The 17,684-nt window shown below is 43.8% G+C and overlaps 2 pseudogenes, besides 4 other annotated features; both read right to left on the bottom strand.

Moving 5' to 3' along the window:
• YTHDF2P1 (YTH domain family member 2 pseudogene 1) lies at positions 125-2,220 on the bottom strand (annotated as a pseudogene).
• On the bottom strand, positions 4,544-17,413 carry LOC100313942 (transmembrane protein 92 pseudogene; annotated as a pseudogene).
• Positions 12,254-13,021: an enhancer, noted in NCBI's record as "NANOG-H3K27ac hESC enhancer chr14:39673467-39674234 (GRCh37/hg19 assembly coordinates)". NCBI's record gives its function as "activates a minimal SCP1, AML or CMV promoter by ChIP-STARR-seq in naive H9 embryonic stem cells {active_cell/tissue: H9 hESC(naive)}" and the evidence as "EXISTENCE:reporter gene assay evidence [ECO:0000049][PMID:30033119]".
• Positions 12,254-13,788: a biological region, named in NCBI's record as "CDK7 strongly-dependent group 2 enhancer GRCh37_chr14:39672946-39674145".
• Positions 12,343-13,542: an enhancer, noted in NCBI's record as "CDK7 strongly-dependent group 2 enhancer chr14:39672946-39674145 (GRCh37/hg19 assembly coordinates)". NCBI's record gives its function as "activates an origin of replication core promoter dependent on BRD2, BRD4, P300/CBP, MED14 and CDK7 cofactors, with strong dependence on CDK7, by STARR-seq in HCT116 cells {active_cell/tissue: HCT116}" and the evidence as "EXISTENCE:reporter gene assay evidence [ECO:0000049][PMID:35650434]".
• Positions 13,022-13,788: an enhancer, noted in NCBI's record as "NANOG-H3K27ac hESC enhancer chr14:39672700-39673466 (GRCh37/hg19 assembly coordinates)". NCBI's record gives its function as "activates a minimal SCP1, AML or CMV promoter by ChIP-STARR-seq in naive H9 embryonic stem cells {active_cell/tissue: H9 hESC(naive)}" and the evidence as "EXISTENCE:reporter gene assay evidence [ECO:0000049][PMID:30033119]".

The following is a 17,684-nucleotide window of genomic DNA, read 5'->3' as shown; positions in this document are numbered from 1 at the left end:
CCTACTTATATATGAGAACATGCGGTATTTGATTTTTTGTTCCTGTGTTAATTCATTTAGGATAATGGCCTCCAGCCGCATCTATGTTGCTACAAAGGACATGATTTCACTTTTTTTTTTTTTAATGCTCAACAGGATCTCACATTTATTGAGAAGTGATTAATGGTAAAAAGAAAGGCAATGCCCTTTCCTCATTGGCTGAACAAGAAACTGAAGAAACATTCACTACACGTTTTACAGTATTTTTCTCTTCCAAAATGCATTTCTGTAAACAAGTTTTTACCACTGTTCTTAGCTTTGAAATCAAATTAATCCTGACTTAATCAGTAGAATGTACAAGAACAGAACATTTCTTAGGACTCCTAGTACTTTATTTTGAGTAACAAAAGATCAGAGAAAATGAACCACCCTTAAAGACACAAGCTTGGGTAACACTGTTATATTCTCCTAGACAAAAATTCTTCATAAAAATGTTCTTCCAGTTCGGAAGGATAAAATCAAATTCCCACTTTCTGGGGTGGATGCCCAAAACCTTCACAACTCAAGTGTTCTCCAAGTGCAAATGTCAAAATGGGAGGAGGAAAGGGTTTAAAAATTAGAGAAAACTGTATGCACTTACGGACTTAAAAATCTGAAAAACATAGTAAAAAGACAAAAAAACAAAGCATTATGCTCTGAAATCACAACCAAAGCCAAAATAAAAGGGACATTTTTCACCTAAACTACCTAGAGGGATTTTTTGTTTAGTTTTTTCTTTTTCTTTTTTCTTTTTTCATTTTCCAGTTAAGTCCTATGTCTTTTGTGAAATTCCAATACTTAAACTGCAAGTCTGCAATCGTCGCTGAAGTCAGTGAAATTAAGAAAAAAGTCCTAATTCTCTTGAAGGTCATTTTTTCCTCTTAGGATATGCAGATGCAACCGTTGCTGCAGTCTGTGTAGAACTGCCTTTTATTTCCCATGACCTTGACGTTCCTTTTTAACACTTTCTTCTTCCTCTTGGCGTTTCCCATAGTGTGAGAAGTCATCAAAAATGGAAGTGGTGTGCTTGTAGCTGGCTATAATTTTCAACACCTGCTTAGCCTTTTCCAGAGGCACTTCCTGAGTGTCCCTAGAGTTGGTCACTGGTTTATTCTCATTGTTCTCTAGGCGAATGTGTCGCAGTTGGCTATTGGGAATGTCCTTCACAAAAATCCACCTGACATCAAAACGACCCTTCCATTTGTCCTGGGACCACACACCTGCACATGTGTTGTAGTCCACAGCAGATTTCATTTCTGCAGCGCCACAGAAGTGTCCACGGCTGTTGACACTGAAAAGTAAGTAAAAGGAGCCTTTCCCGTTCATGGAACGATAAGCAGCATCCAGTCTCTTGTTACCATGTTCTGTGCTGCACCAAATATTATACTTAGTGAAACGGTGAATATCGTCCTCAGAGTAGCTCTTAATGATGAAAACCCGGCCATGTTTCAAATTCCAGTCAAAATCTTTGGGGTTATAGTTATTAATGGACCGAAGCTTCTCCAACACAGGGTGGGGTTCTGAAGGAGTAGATCCAGAACCAGCCTGAGACTGTCCTACTCCGTTACCATCCATCCCATTATGACCGAACCCACTGCCATGGTTCCGAGGTGCTACCCAGCGGGTTGGCTGAGCTGCCTGTTGCTGGACTGAAAGCTGGGCAGGCTGTGGTGGAGGTGGAGGCAATGGCTGTGTCTGTTGCCCTACTGATGCCTGAGCCACTGGTGGGCTATTGTTAGCCTGCTGACCTGCAGGCTGAGGAGACCCCTGGGTTGGCTGACCTATATTCTGAACCAAAGCCTGTAAGGGGGCTTTTGCAATGGACCCTTGTTATCCCAAGTTCCAATATCCATGTTATGCTTTATCGGGGGTGGCGGAAGACTTGACCCTGCATGCCATTCTTGGTCTTCGGTTTAGGTTGCTGTTTTGCAGGCTTGCTAGCAATATCAGCCCAAGATGCTGGTTTTGGAGAGCAATGGTGGCTGGAGGCAAACTATTGGAAGCATGATGTTACTAGTAATGGACCCGCTACCAACAGCAGAACCTACAACTTTTGGAACATTGCTTGCAACTTCTGTGCTACCCAACTTCAGTGCTGCCATCCCTTGGTCTATAGCATTCATGCCAGGAGCCTTACTGAGGGTCTCATTGGCAAAAGCTGACTGTCCATCAACCATGGCTCCACCTAAGGAGCTAGGTGCAATTTCACTCTTTTTTATGGCTGTGAGTATTCCATGGTGTATATGTACCACATTTTCTTTATCCACTTCACCTTTGATGGATACCTAGATTGATTCCATGTCTTTGCTATTGTGAGTAGTGCTGTGATGAACATATGAGTTAGTACCCATATTTTTTAAAGTAAAAAGAAACAGGTGAAATCAACTTCAACATTATATTTTACTTAAGTCACTATATATGAGATATTATTTAATATTATTTTATTCATTGTCTCTTTACTGCTGTAACAAATTACTACTAACAGTAGCTTAAAACAAACTTATTTGTTTATTCATTTGGGCTTTTTTGTTTTAGTTTGTTATTTTGGAGACAGGGTCTCACACTGTTGCCCAGGCCGGAGTGCAATGGCATGATCATGGCTCACTGCAGCCTCAATCTTCCAGGCTCAAGCGATCCTCCCATCTCAAGCCTCCCAAGTATAGGCACGCGCCACCATGCCTGGCTAATGTTTTCTTTTTTTTTTTTGGTAGAGACAAGATCTCACCATGTTGCCCAGGCTAGTCTTAAACTCTTTGGTCTGAAGTGATCCAAGTGGTCCACCTGCCTGGGCCTCCCAAAGTGCTGGGATTACAGGCATGAGCCACCACGCATGGCCCATTCATTTATTCATTCATATTTATATAGGTCAGAAGTCCAATATAGGTCTCACTGGGCAAAAACCAAAGTGTCAGCAGGACTGCATTCTATTCTAAAGTTCTAGGGGAGAATACATTACCTTGTATTTTTCAGCTTCTTAGAGGCCCCCTTCTTCTATCTTCAAAGCCAATAATGTTGCATCTCTGTGTCTTTTTTCTTTTTTGGGGCAGGGTCTGTCTCTGTCACCCAGGCTGGAGTGCAGCGACACAATCACGGCTCACTGCAGCCTCAACCTTCTGGGCTCAAGTGATACTCTCACTTCAGTCTGCTGAGAAGCTGGGACTACAGGTGGGCACCACCATACTCAGCTAATTTTTTTTTTTTTTTTTTTTTTGAGACGGAGTCTTGCTCTGTCGCCCAGGCTGCAGTGCAGTGGCACGATCTTGGCTTACTGCAAGCTCTGCCTCCCGGGTTCACACCATTCTGCTGCCTCAGCCTCCCGAGGAGCTGGGACTACAGACACTGCCACTACGCCAGGCTAAATTTTGTATTTTTAGTAGAGATGGGGTTTCACCGTGTTAGCCAGGATGGTCTTGATCTCCTGACCTTGCAATCCGCCCGCCTTGGCCTCCCAAAATGCTGGGGTTACAGGTGTGAGCCACCGCACCCAGCCCCATGCCCAGCTAATTAAAAAAAATTTTCTGGAGAGACAGGGTCTTAAACATCTGGGCTAAAGTGATCCTTCCACCTCGGCTTCCCAAAGTACTAGGATTACAGGTGTGAGCCATGGTGCCCAGCCTCTATGTCTTTTTTCTGTAGTCACATCTTCTTTTCTACTGTTAAGGACTCTTGTGGTTGTATTGGGCCTACTCAGATAATCCAGCATATTCTCACTGTTATAAGGTCAGCTGATTAGCCACCTTAATTCCATCTACAGCCTTGATTCCCCTTCGCCATGTAATATATGAAACATATTCACAGGTTTTCAAGATGTGTACATGGAGATCTTCAGTGGGCCATTATTCTACCTACTATGATTATCAGTATAAAAATTATTAAGACATTTTTTCCTGCTATGCCTTTGAAATCTAATGTATTTTATACTGACAGCATTTCTCAATTCAGAATAACCACATTTCAGGTGTTCAATGGCTACATATAACCAACGGCTACATATCAGACAGCATAGTTCTAAATAATAACTAATATTTATGAGCATTTTTGTAGAATAGTGCTATCCAGTAGCACTTTTTATATTACAGAAGCATTCTATATTTGTGTTATCTACATGGTTATTTAAACTTAAGTTATTTTAAATCAGATAAAATTTAAAATTCAATTCTTCAGTCAAACTAGCCACAAGTCAGAGGCTCAATAGTCACATGTGGCTAGTGGCTACCATATTGAATAGCACAGGTACAGAACATGGCAGCAACATTTCAAGTCTTAAGTGTTAACCAAATGCTCATATCAGTCATTAATTTTTTTTCATATGAGCATTAAAGCAACCACAGAGCATCTAACTTGAGCAATATATCTTTCTAGCATACTCTTCAGGATAAGAAGAGTTGCAAAATGTACACTTAAGCAACTGAATGAAGTGACTTTCTATATAGGTTTAACTGTCAATTCATTGAAAGTGGAAGAGCTAGTGTTTTTAATGGCTTTATAGTTTATAAAACATTTCACATAGATCAGAGATTTTTTTTTCAGTGAGGATGTGTGTTTATCATGTGTTGGGGGTGGGTACGGTGAGTTCTCTATTCAGGTAGGATTGGAAGCTGGCTCAGAGCTCATCCAGTCCAGTCTCCCACAGGTATAGAAGTGCCCTGATAAAATTTCAGAGCTGACTGTCCAGTCAAGATTTGCATGCCTCCAGAAATGGGGCTCTTACGACCCCTCACAGTAGCCCGTTCTGCTCTTGGGCACCTCCAATGGTTGGCATTTTCCTTCCAGCAGCCTCTTTCTTGGGTTGGGGGGTGGGCAGATACTGTCACTCCAGCCTAACCCTCAGGACAAGAGAGGCAGCTGGGTTGGGAACAGAGGCAGAAAAAACAATAAGTTAAATCCAAGAATGAACAGAGACATGGCAGGATGGGCAAGGACATTTCTGGGGTGCCAGCAGTCTCTAGCTTGATCCAGGAGGCACTGGGGAGGAGGTTGCTGATGGCAAGATTCCAGGCAGGAGGTGACTCAGAAGGCTGGGCTGTCAATGGCCCTCTGATCCCCAGTATATTTTTCAGGCCTGAAGCTGTAGGGAGGGGGTGGCTCTGTGGGACTCTGGCCCCGAGTAGGCTTCAGAATCACTCACTGTAGGGGGGTGGGGGAGTAGAGAGGGATGCTCTGACCCTCTCTAGGGGGATGATGGAGGGCAGTTCCCGGGGCCCCTGGCAATCCTTCAGGGCGTCTGGGTCCAGGTCTCTGCAGTTGGGACAGAAGCGCTTAGCCAGGCCACAGATGCACAAGAGAGGCAGGATGACCAGGAAGATGATGACGAAGATCCTCAAGGGGCCAGGGAAGAACTCGTTCTCCTGGCAGCAGCTGTCGCCACAGCATTTGAATCCTTTGGGGCAGGCGAAGGAGAGACCACATTTAGCTGCAACATTTTGGGGGCCAGCCAGCAGGCTGAGCAGCAAGGCGGGCATGAGGCCGGGGACCCCAGATATTTTTTCTTTTTTTTTTTTTGAGATGGAGTCTCGCCCAGGCCGGAGTCCAGTGGCATGATCATGGCTCACTGCAATCTCCACGCCTCCCCAGTTCAAGTCATTCTCCTGCCTCAACCTCCCGAGTGGCTGGGATTACCAGTGCACGCCACCATGCCTGGTTAATTTTTGTATTTTTAGTAGAGACAGGGTTTCATGATGTTGGCCAGGCTGGTCTCGAACTCCTGACCTCAAGTGAGCTGCCCGCCTTGGCCTCCCAAAGTGCTGGGAATACAGGCGTGAGCCACCGCAGCCGGCCAGAGATTTTTCTTTTTTTTTGTAAAGTCTCAGCCTGGGCGACATAGGGAGACCCTATCTCCACAAAAAAAAATAAAATAAAAAAAAATAGCTGGGCATGGTGTCATGTGTCTGTGGTCTCAGCTACTCAGGAGGCTGAGACAGGAGGGTCACCGGAGCCTGAGAGGTCAAGGCTGCAGTGAGCCGAGATTGTGCCACTGCACTCCAGCCTAGATGACAGAGCAAGCCTCTGTCGCAAAAACAAAACAAAACAAAAGTCCGGTCAATTTCCTCAGTTTTTCTCAAGGAAGACATATAGGAAACAGCACGAGGAGATAGAAATTCACACAAGCACAGGTTTATTTTGTCCACTTCCAGGGCGCCTACCCATGCTGGGTTTGCCTCACTCAAATAAGAATAGCCATTCAAGAACAGTCAAGGTAAAACCAGCCACATTCTTTCATATTCCAAATTGCCAGTGCCTCCTCTAAAACTTAAGTTCTGCTTCTAAAATAGTGTATGCCAACATAGGGGAAGGAGTGGGCATGGGAGTGGATTTGAAGTCTCAAAATAACCTGTAGTATGATTTGGAAATTTTGGAAAATCACACTATTCACAGGCAAAATAAGCATAGTCTTAATATTCCCTGCTGTATACTCTTAAATATCAAAAAGCAGAAAAATTATATATCTACAGTGATGGCTGGAAACAGTTGATACTTGTATAGTATCAGACCGCAGTGGTCTTAGTGCTCCCCTCACATGGAAGTGAGGAAGTGTAATCCTCGGCCTCGGAGTCCGAGGTGGGCGGATCACTTGAAGTCAGGAGTTTGGGACCAGCCTGGCCAAGGTGGCGAAACCCCGTCTCTACTAAAAATACAGAAATTAGCAGGGTGTGGTGGCATGTGCCTGTAATCCCAGCTAGTTGGGAGGCTGAGGCATGAGAATCTCTTGAACCTGGGAGAAGGGGGCTTTAGTAAGCCAAGATTACGCCACTACTCTCCAGTCTGGGCGACATAGAGCGAGACCTTGTCTCCAAATAAAAAAAAAAAAGACCAGGCCTGGAACCCAGAAGTGGTGTATATTACTCCTGTTTACTTTTTTTTGTTTGTTTTTTTAAATAAGGAGTCTCACTCTGTCACCCAGGCTGCAGTGCAGTTGCGCCATCTCGGTTCACTTCAACCTTCTCCTCCCGGCTTCTAACAATTCTCCTGCCTCAGCTTCCTGAGTAGCTGGGATTACAGGTGCATGCCACCATACCCAGCTAATTATCTTTGTATTTTTGGTAGAGACAAGGTTTCGCCACCTTGGCCAGGCTGGTGTCCAACTCCTGGGGCTCCAGTGATCCCCCCGCCTCAGCTTCCCAAAGTGCTGGGATCACAAGGGTGAGCCACTGCACCTGGCCTCTTCTGTTTACTTCTATTGGCCAGAAATAATTTCGTGCTTCCACATAATTGCAAATTGGGAGACGCTGGGCGCGGTGGCTCACGCCTGTAATCCCAGCACTTTGGGAGGCCGAGGCGGGCAGATCACTTGAGGTCAGGAGTTTGAGACCAACCTGACCTGGTCTCAACATGGTGAAACCCCATGTCTACTAAAAATACAAAAATTAGCCTGCCATGATGGCAGGCGCCTGTAATCCCACCTACTCAGGAGGCTGAGGCACGAGAATCGCTTGAACCCAGGAAGCGGAGGTTGCAGTGAGCCACTGCACTCTATCCTGGGCAGCAGAGCAAGACTCGGTCTCAAAAAAATAAATAAGCCTGGGCACGGTGGCTCACGCCTGTAATTCCAGCACTTTGGGAGGCGGAGGCGGGTGGATCACCTGAGGTCGGAGTTCGAGACCAGTATAGCCACCATGGAGAAACCCCGTCTCTACTAAAAATACAAAATGAGCCAGGCGTGGTGGTGCATGCCTATAATCCCAGCTACTTGGGAGGCTGAGGCAGGAGAATCGCTTGAATCCAGGAGGCAGAAGTTGCGGTGAGCCGAGATCGCGCCATTGCACTCCAGCCTGGGCAACAAGAGCGAAACTCCGTCTCTAAATAAATAAAAATAAAATTGAGAAGAGAGGAGGAAATTTTCATCTTCCTGTCTGCCCAGGAATAATGACAACACAGTTCTGCTTCTGGCACAGAGGAATTGCTTCTCAGATCCCAAAGTTCCACAACAAGGACATAGACCTCTTGGTGATACCCCAACAAAGTGTGAATTCAGCCATGCTCATTAAACTTTCTTTACCATTCTCAATTGGGCATGTTTCACCATCGTCGCCCCTACTCTCACCTGATTATTGTTCTAATGTGAACTAATTTTTCATTCTTATTTTCAGCTGAGTGTATGGGTCAGGGGTTTAAAAACATTCAACATTCAAACCTACGGAAACAAGGAAAATGAAACAACCTGAAATCATAAAGATTTGTGATAGATACAATGATGTTCCCTTAAGCTGCCCAGCTAATAAAGGGATACCTAACAAAGAAGTTAATCTGTATTAGTCAGGTCCTACAGAGAAACAGCAACCAATGGGATGTGTGTATGTATGTGTGTGTCTACATATATCTATATGAAGAGACTTATTTTTAAAAAATGTGTTTGTGTCAATTGTGCCTCTAGGTATGAGAAGAGATTTGTTATAAGGAATTGGTTCATGTAATTATGGAGGCTAAGAAGTCCCAATATTCTCAAATCAGCAAGCTGGAGATTGGGGAGAGCCAATGTGTGTTTATTTGGGTGGCTAGGAGATGTGGTAGATAGAGTTTTTATTATAAGGAGGAAAGTCTTCTGAGACACCTTTTTGCACCCATATCTGATTGCTAGGACTTCCAGCACTATATTGAAGAGCAGTGGTGAGAGTGAGTATCCTTGTCTTGTTCCCGTTCTTAGAGGGAATACTTTAAACTTTTCCCCATTCAGTATTATGTTGGCTGTGGGTATGTCATAGATGGCTTCTATTACATTAAGGTATGCCCCTTGTATGCTGATTTTGCTGAGGGTTTTAATCATAAAGCGATGCTGGATTTTGTCAAATGCTTTTTCTGCGTGTATTGAGATGATCATGTGATTTGTTTTTAATTATGTTTATGTGATGTATCACATTTATTGACTTGCATATGTTAAACCATCCCTGCATCCCTGGTATGAAACTAACTTGATTATAGTGAATTATCTTTTTTATGCGCTGTTGGATTCTGTTAGCTAGTATTTTGTTAAGGATTTTAACATCTATGTTCATCAAGGTTATCAGTCTGTAGTTTTCTTTTTTGGTTTTGTCCTTTCCTGATTTTGGTATTAGGGTGATGCTGGCTTCATAGAATGAATTAGGGAAGGTTCCTTCTTTCTCTATCTTGTGGAATAGTGTCAAAAGGATTGGTACCAATTCTTTGAATGTCCGGTAGAATTCTGCTGTAAATCCATCTGGTCCTGTACTTTTTCTTTGTTGGTAATTATTAAATTAACATTTCAATCTTGCTGCTTGTTATTGGTCTGTTCAGGACATCTAATTCTTCCTGATTTAAGCTAGGAGGGTTGTACTTTTCCAGGAATTTATCCATCTCTTCTAGGTTTTCTAGTTTACGTGCATAAAGGTGTTCATAGTAGCTTTGAATGCTCTTTTGTATTTTAGTGGTGTCTGTTGAAATATCTGCTGTTTCATTTCTTAATGAGGTTATTTGGTGGATTTTCTCTCCTCTTTTCTTGGTTAAGCTTGTTAATGCTCTATCAATTTTATTTATCTTTTCAAATAACCAGCTTTTTGTTTCATTTAGCTTTTGTAATTTTTTTGTTTCAATTTCATTTAGTTCTGCTCTGATCTTGATCATTTCCTTTCTTCTGCTGGGTTTGGGTTTGGTTTGTTCTTGTTTCTCTAGTTTCTTGAGGTATGACCTTAGAATGTCAGTTTGTGCTTGTTCAGTCTTTTTGATGTAAGCTTTTAGGCTATGAACTTTCCTCTTAGCACTGCCTTTGCTGTATCCCAGAGGTTTTGATAGGTTGTATCATTATTGTCGTTTAGTTTGAAGAATTTTTAAATTTCCATCTTGATTTCATTTTTGACCCAGTGCTCATTCACGAGCAGGTTATTTAATTTCCATGTATTTGCATGGTTTTGAAGGTTCCTTTTAGAGATGATTTCCAGTTCTATTTCACTGTGGTCTGAAAGAGTACTTGATATAATTTCAATTTCTTAAATTTATTGAGACTCATTTTGTGGCCTATCATATGGCCTATCTTGGAGAAAGTTCCATGCGCTGTTGAATAGAACGTGTATTCTGTGATTGTTGGATGAAATGTTCTGTATATATCTGTTAAGTCCATTTGTTCCAAGGTATAGTTTAAATCCATTGTTTCTTTGTTGACTTTCTGTCTTGACCTGTCTAGTGCTGTCAGTGGAGTACTGAAGTCCCCCACTATTATTGTGTTGCTGTCTATCTCATTTCTTAGGTCTATTAATAATTGTTTTATAAATTTGGGAGCTCCAATGTTAGGTGCATATATGTTTAGGATTGTGATATTTTCCTGTTGGACAAGGCCTTTTACCATTATATAATGTCCCTCTTTGTCTCTTTTAACTGCTGTTGCTTTAAAGTTTGTTTTATCTGATATAAGAATAGCTACCTCTGCTTGCTTTGGGCGTCCACTTGCAAGAAATCTCTTTTTCCATCCCTTTACTCTAAGTTTATGTGAGTCCTTATGTGTTAGGTGAGTCTACTAAAGGCAGCAGATAGTTGGTTGGTGAGTTCTCATCCATTCTGCAGTTCTGTATCTTTTAAGTGGAGCATTTAGGCCATTTACATTCAATGTTAATATTGAAATGTGAGGTACCATTGCATTCATTGTGCTATTTGTTGCCTGTGTACCTTGGGTTTTTTGGTTTTGGTTTTTGCTTTTTAACTTGTATTTTTGTTTTATAGGTCCTGTGTGATTTATGCTTTAAAGAGGTTCTGTTTTGATGTGTTTCCAGGATTTAAGATTTTTTTTTTTTGAGACAGAGTTTCAATCTGTCTCCCAGACTGGAGTGCAATGGCACAATCTTGGCTCACTGCAACTTCTGCCTCCCAGGTTCAGGTGGTTCTCCTGCCTCAGCCTCCCAAGTAGCTGGGATTACAGGGGCCCACCACCACGCCTAGCTAATTTTTGTATTTTTAGTAGAGATGTGGTTTCACCATGTTGCCCAGGCTAGTCTTGAACTCCTGACCTCAGGTGATCCACCCGCCTCGGCCTCCCAAAGTCCCAGGATTACAGGCATGAGCCACTGCCCCCAGCCTGTTTTAAGATATAGAGCTCCTTTTAGCAGTTCTTGTAATGGTGGCTTGGTAGGGGTGAATTCTCTCAGTATTTGTTTGTATGAAATAGACTGTATCCTTCTATCATATGCAATGCTTAGTTTTGCTAGTTACAAAATGCTTGGCTGATAATTGTTTTGTTTGAGGAGGCTGAAGATAGGGCCCCACACCCTTCTAGTTTGTAGGGTTTCTGCTGAGAAATCTGCTGTGAATCTGATAGGTTTTCCTTTATAGGTGCTTCTGTATCACAGCTTTTAAGATTCTTTCCTTCATCTTAACTCTAGATAACCTGATGACAACCTGATGACAATGTGCCTAGGTGATGACCTTTTTGTGATGAATTTCTTAGGTGTTCTTTGTGCTTCTTGTTTTTGGATGTCTAGGTCTCTAGCAAGTTTGGGGAACTTTTCCTCAATTATTCCCCCAAATATGTTTTCCAAGCTTTTAGAATTCTCTTTTTCAGGAACACTGATTATTCCTTTTTTTTTCTTTTTCTTTTTTTTTTTTTTGAGACAGAGTCTCACTCTGTTGCCCAGGCTGGTGTGCAGTGGCACAATCTCAGCTCACTGCAACCTCTGCCTCCTGGGTTCAAGCGATCCTCCTACCTTAGCCTCCTGAGTAGCGGGGACTACAGGCACATGCCACCATGCCCGGCTAATTTTTTGTACTTTTAGTAGAGACAGGGTTTCACCATGTTGGCCAGGCTAGTCTCAAAACACCAATTATTCTTAGGTTTGGTAATTTAACACAATCCCAGGCTTCTTGGAGGCTTTGTTCATATTTTCTTTCTTTCTTTTTTTTTTAGATGGAGTCTCGCTCTGTCGCCAGGCTGGAGTGCAATGGCACCATCTCGGCTCACTGCAACCTCCGACACCCTTGTTCAAACGATTCTCCTGCCTCAGCCTCCTGAGTAGCTGGGATTACAGGCAGGCACCACCACACTCAGCTAATTTTTGTGTCTTTAGTAGAGATGGGGTTTCACCCTGTTGGCAAGGCTGGTCTCAATCTCCTGACCTCGTGATCCGCCCGCCTCAGCCTCCCAAAGTGCTGGCATTACAGGCGTGAGCCACCCTGCCCAGACTCATATTTTCTTATTCTTTTTTCTTTGTCTTTGTTAGACCTTGTCTTCGAGCTCTGAATTTCTTTCTTCTACTTGTTCAATTCTACTGCTGAGACTTTCCAGAGCATTTTGCATTTCTATAAGTGTGTCCAGTGTTTCCTGAAGTTTTGATTGTTTTTTCTTTATGCTATCTATTTTCCTGAATATTTCTCTCTTCACTTCTTGTATTGTTTTTTGGATTTCTTTGTGCTGGGCTTCACCATTCTCTGGTGCCTCCCTGATTAGCTTAATAACTAACCTCCTGTATTCTTTTTCAGGTAAATCGGGGATCTCTTCTTGGTTTGGTTCTACTGCTGGTGAGCTACTGTGATTATTTGGGGGGTGTTACAGAGCCTTTTTTTGTCATATTACCAGAGTTGGTTTTCTGGTTCCTTCTCATTTGGATAGGCTCTATCAGAGGGAGGGTCTAAGGCTGAAGGCTGTTGTTCAGATTCTTTTGTCCCTTGAGTCTTCCCTTTTCCTATGGATGTGGCTTCCTGTGAGCCAGACTGCAGTGATTGTTGTCTTTCTTCTGGATCGAGCCACCCAGCACGTCTACCCAGCTCTGGGCTGGTACTGGGAGTTGTCTGCACAGAGCCCTGTGATGTGAACTGTCTATGGATCTCTCAGACATGGATACCAGCACCTGTTCTGGTGGAGGTGGCAGGGGAGCGCAATGGGCTCTGTGAGGGTTCTTAGCTTTGGTGGTTTAAATGCTCTATTTTTGTGCTAGTTGGCCTCCTGCTGGGAGGTGATGCTTTCCAGAGAGCATCAACTATGGTAGTATGGAGAGGAACCAGTGGTGGGTGGGGCCCTTGAAGTCCCAAGATTATATGCCCTTTGTCTTCAGCTACCAGAGTGGATAAGGAAGGCCCATCAGGTGGGGGCAGGGCTAGGCATGTCTGAGCTCAGACTATCCTTGGGCGGGTCTTGCTGTGGCTGCTGTGGGGGATGGGGTAAGGTTCCCAGGTCAATGGAGTTGTGTACCTAGGAGGATTATAGATGCCTCTGCTGAGTCATGCAGGTTGTCAGGGAAGTGGGGGAAAGCTGGCAGTCACAGGCCTCATCCACCTCCCACACAAACTAAAGAGCTGGTCCCACACCCACCATGCACCCCCTGACAGCGTCAAGTCTGTTTCTGGACAGTGGGTGGGCTGGGCTTGAGAACTTGCCCCAGGCTACCCTCCTCCCAGCTGCAACATAAAAGGGCTTTAGTTCTACCCCAGTCTGTGGAGTCTGCACACTGATATGCATCCTCCCCTGAGTTCTGGCCAGGAGGCTTCTCACCAGGTTCAAATTGTCACAAAGTTCAGCTGGAGATTTCCTTCTCCCTGTGGTGTTTTCCCTCACTCTTCTGCCCACTCTCCTGATAGATCCCTGTGGTGCCAGGCAGGAATGGCCTGCTGGGGACCCAGCAAGTTCCCAGGGCCTTTCCTACTGCTTCCTCTACACCTGTATTTTGTTGGGCTGTCTAAATTGAATCAGCTCCAGGTAAGATCAAAAACTTCTCCTGCAAACAGTCCTTCAGTTTCTCCAGAGGGGGTGTGTGTTCGGGAGAGGAGGATCTCGCTTTCCCACTTCCGCAATTGGGGCTCTCACAATATTTGGGGTGTCTCCAAGGTCCTGCAGGAGCAGTCTGCTTCCCTCAGAGGGTCTGTGGGTCCTCTCAGGATTGGTGGTCTGTTATTGCAGTTGATCTGAAGCTAAAATTCATGACGTGAGCCTCCACACACTGCTCTGTCCATCAGAGTCAGAGCTGCAGTCTAGTTCTGCCTCCCATCCGCCATGATGATCTCCAGTTAATCTTTAAAAAGAGAGTCTAGGCCAGGCGCAGTGGCTTACGCCAGCAATCCTAGCACTTTGGGAGACCGAGGCGGGTGGATCACCTGGGGTCAGGAGTTCAAGACCAGCCTGGTCAACATAGTGAAACCCCGTCTCTACTAAATATACAAAAATTAGCTGGGCGTGGTGGCAGACACCTGTAATCCCAGCTACTTGGGAGTCTGAGACAGGAGAATCACTTGAACCCAGGAGGCAGAGGTTGCAGTGAGCTGAGATCGTGCCATTGTGTTCCAGCCTGAGCAACAAAAGCAAAACTTCACCTCCAAAAAAAAAAAAGAATCTATACGCCTGAGGGACACCACATTGCAACCAAACAGTCTGTAGCTTTAGCACTCGCAGTGTCCCAGGGCCTTAGTGGCCCTGCAGAGTGAAATAGGGCAAGGGGGAGCTACTTCAAGCAGAGCCAGGCCTCTGGACCCGCAGCCTGTGCCAGAGTTCTCTCGCAAGGCAGAACAGCAGTGCAGCAATGGAGCCATTTCCTACATTTCTTGAGTTTATATGTGTAACATGGTGATAGATGTGTCAAGCAGTATCTTTCTTGTCTTCCATGTATTTCCTAACAGAACTTAACAGCTGAGAACAAAAATGGCACTGAGTACTTTTATATTCTATTTTCAGAAAACCGACATCTTTGAGTCCAATAATCTCTTTGCAAGCCTTCTGTAAATCTAAATATTGGAGGTGGGAGGTAGCACACAGAGCTCATAGTAGTGTCAATCATCTCTTCTCCCTTCTCTTCTGATGTGCGGTGATGGGAATGGGGATGTTTGGCATTCAGTTTGTCCCCTCCCCCTTGCTATTTAACTAGGAGGTGTTCAAGTTAACCCATCTACCAAGGGATCTGTTCATAGTGTCATCTATAGATTGCTAAACCAAAAAGTAGCACAATATGTAACGCCTCAGGCTTGCTGCCACTCAGTAGAGAAAGAAATGAACAAAAAAGAAAGGAGTGGTGGGACCAATGTCTTCCTACTGCATGGCATAGTAATATGTGACTGTCCTCATGATCAAATAGACATTGTGGAAAGAGGCTAGTCGCCCCAGTGGGCAAGGAAACCTAGGCCATCAAAAAGTTTTGGAAATGATTCAAGTGGCAGAGACTAAGGGTGTGTGTGTGGTAAGGAATATGTGGAGTGTTGAAACAAAAATAGCAATAAGTTGATAATTGTTAAAGCTGAGTGATAGGTACATAGAGGTTCATTATAACATTCTTTCTACCTTCGTGTGTTTAAAACTTTTAACAATAAACATGTTTTTTGGCCAGGTGTGGTGGTTCATGTCTGTAGTCCCAGCACTTTGGAAGGCCAAGGCAGGAGGATCACTTGAGCTCAGGAGTTCGAGACCAGCCTGAGCAACATGGTGAGATCCCTGTCTCTACAAAAAATAAAATAAAATTAGCTGGGCGCGGTGACATGCAGCTGTAGTCCCAGGTACTTGGAAGGCTGAGCCAGGATGTTGAGGCTGTAGTGATCTGTGATCCTGCCACTGCACTCCAGCCTGGGAGATTGAGCAAGATCCTATCTCATAAAATAAAATTTTAAAAAATCAAACAATAAACATGTTTTTTAAGGTTATGGAATTGGACTGAATTGTGAAGATCGCCTGATATCACAGGGAAAGTCAACAGAACTTTTTTTTTTTTTTTTTTTTTTTTGAGTCTTTGCTCTGTCGCCCAGGCTGGAGTGCAGTGGCACAATCTCAGCTCACTGCAAGCTCCGCCTCCCGGGTTCACACCATTCTCCTGCCTCAGCCTCCCGAGTAGCTGGGACTACAGGCGCCCGCCGCCACGCCCGGCTAATTTTTTGTATTTTTTAGTAGAGACGGGGTTTCACCGTGTTAGCCAGGATGGTCTCAATCTCCTGACCTCATGATCCGCCCGCCTCGGCCTCCCAAAGTGCTGGGATTACAGGTGTGAGCCACCACGCCTGGCCCAAGAGAACATTTTTGGTAACAGTTTCAGGAAGGGAAGTTACATCTTTTTATATATTTATTCATTTTTTAATTAATGGGGTGCTACACACTTTTTTTTTTTTTTTTGAGACAGCCTTGCCCTGTCTTCCAGACTGGAGTGCAGTGGCACAATCATGACTCAATGCAACCTCCACCTCCTGGACTCAGGTGATCTTCTTGCCTTAGGAAGGACTACAGGTACGCCACCATGCCTGGCTAATTTTTGTATTTTTTGTAGACATGGGGTTTTGCCATTTTACCCAGGCTGATCTTGAACTCCTGGGCTTAAGTGATCCACCTGCCTCAGTCTCTGGAAGTGTTGGAATTACAGGTGTGAGCCACTGCACCAGGTGAAAAATTACATATTAATGAATTAAGACTTTGCTATGATCTGAATATCTGTGTCCCACCCCCCCCCCATCAAATTCATATGTTGAAATCCTAGCCCCCAGGGGTGATGGTACTAGAAAGTGAGGTCCTTGAGTGGATTCGTGACCTTATAAAAGAGGGCCAAGAGAGACTCCTCATCCCTTATATTATGTGAGGTCACAGCAAGAAGATGCCATCTATGAGGAAGCGGGCCCTTACCAGACACCTAATCTTATCTTGTTCTTGGACTTCCCAGGTTCCAGAACTGTGAGAAGTTTCTGTTGTTTATAAGCTACCCAGTTTATGGTATTTTGTTATAGCAGCCAGAGTGGACAAAGACAGACTTATTATTCCAACATTTTATAAGTCCAACCACCAAAAGAAATGTTCTTGTCTTCCTGAAGAAGTGCCTCACTTTTTCTTTAACTGTGATCCAGTCAAGTATGGCTTAGAAAATAGTCACAGGAGTTTCCACTGTAGACAAGAGGTAGACAAAGGAGCTTCCTGCAAACTGGAAAAATATTTTTAAATTTCCTATACATAAACAACAAATCGGTGGAAATGCAATAAAAAGAAAAAAATCCTGTTCACAATAGCAAATAATTTGTTTTAGCAAAAGACACTCTACGGCTAAACTTAATAAAAATGTACAAGACCTGATGAAGAAAACTATAAAATGTTACTGCAGAATATAGATGATAGAATAAATGCAGAGTTATACTTGTTTCTGTTTAGAGTCAATATTCTAAAGATGTTGATTACTTCTAAATTTATAAAGGCCATATAATTGCAATGAAAATGTTAACTTTTTGGGGAACTTGAAAAATGATTCTAAAGTTTTCATTAAAAATAAATATATAGCCAGGCATGGTGGCTCATGCCTGTAATCCTAGCACTTTGGGAGGCCTAGGCAGGTGGATCACAGGATCAGGAGTTTGAGACCAGCCTGACCAACATGGTGAAACTCCATCTCTACTAAAAATACAAAAATTAGCCAGGCATGGTGGCGCATGCCTGTAGTCCCAGCTACTCAGGAGGCTGAGGCAGGAGAATCGCTTGAACCCAGGAGGCAGAGGTTGCAGTGAGCTGAGATCGCACCACTGCACTCCAGCCTGGGCAACAAAGAGAGACTCTGTCTCAAAAAAATAATAACAATAAAAATAAATATTTTGGAAAAATTGGAAAAGAAGCATATTGGGGGGGACTTAGCATACCAGATATTAAAACCTACTATAAAACAATTTTAGGCTGGACGTGGTGGCTCACGTCTGTAATCCCAGCATTTTGGGAGGCTGAGGCGGGTGGATCACGAGGTCAGGAGATCGAGACCATCCTGGCTAACACGGTGAAACCCCATCTCTGCTAAAAA

The sequence above is a fragment of the Homo sapiens genome, chromosome 14 (genome assembly GCF_000001405.40).
Source record: "Homo sapiens chromosome 14, GRCh38.p14 Primary Assembly".
Taxonomy (NCBI): Eukaryota; Metazoa; Chordata; class Mammalia; order Primates; family Hominidae; genus Homo; species Homo sapiens.
This window is presented reverse-complemented; position numbering and strand designations above follow the sequence as displayed.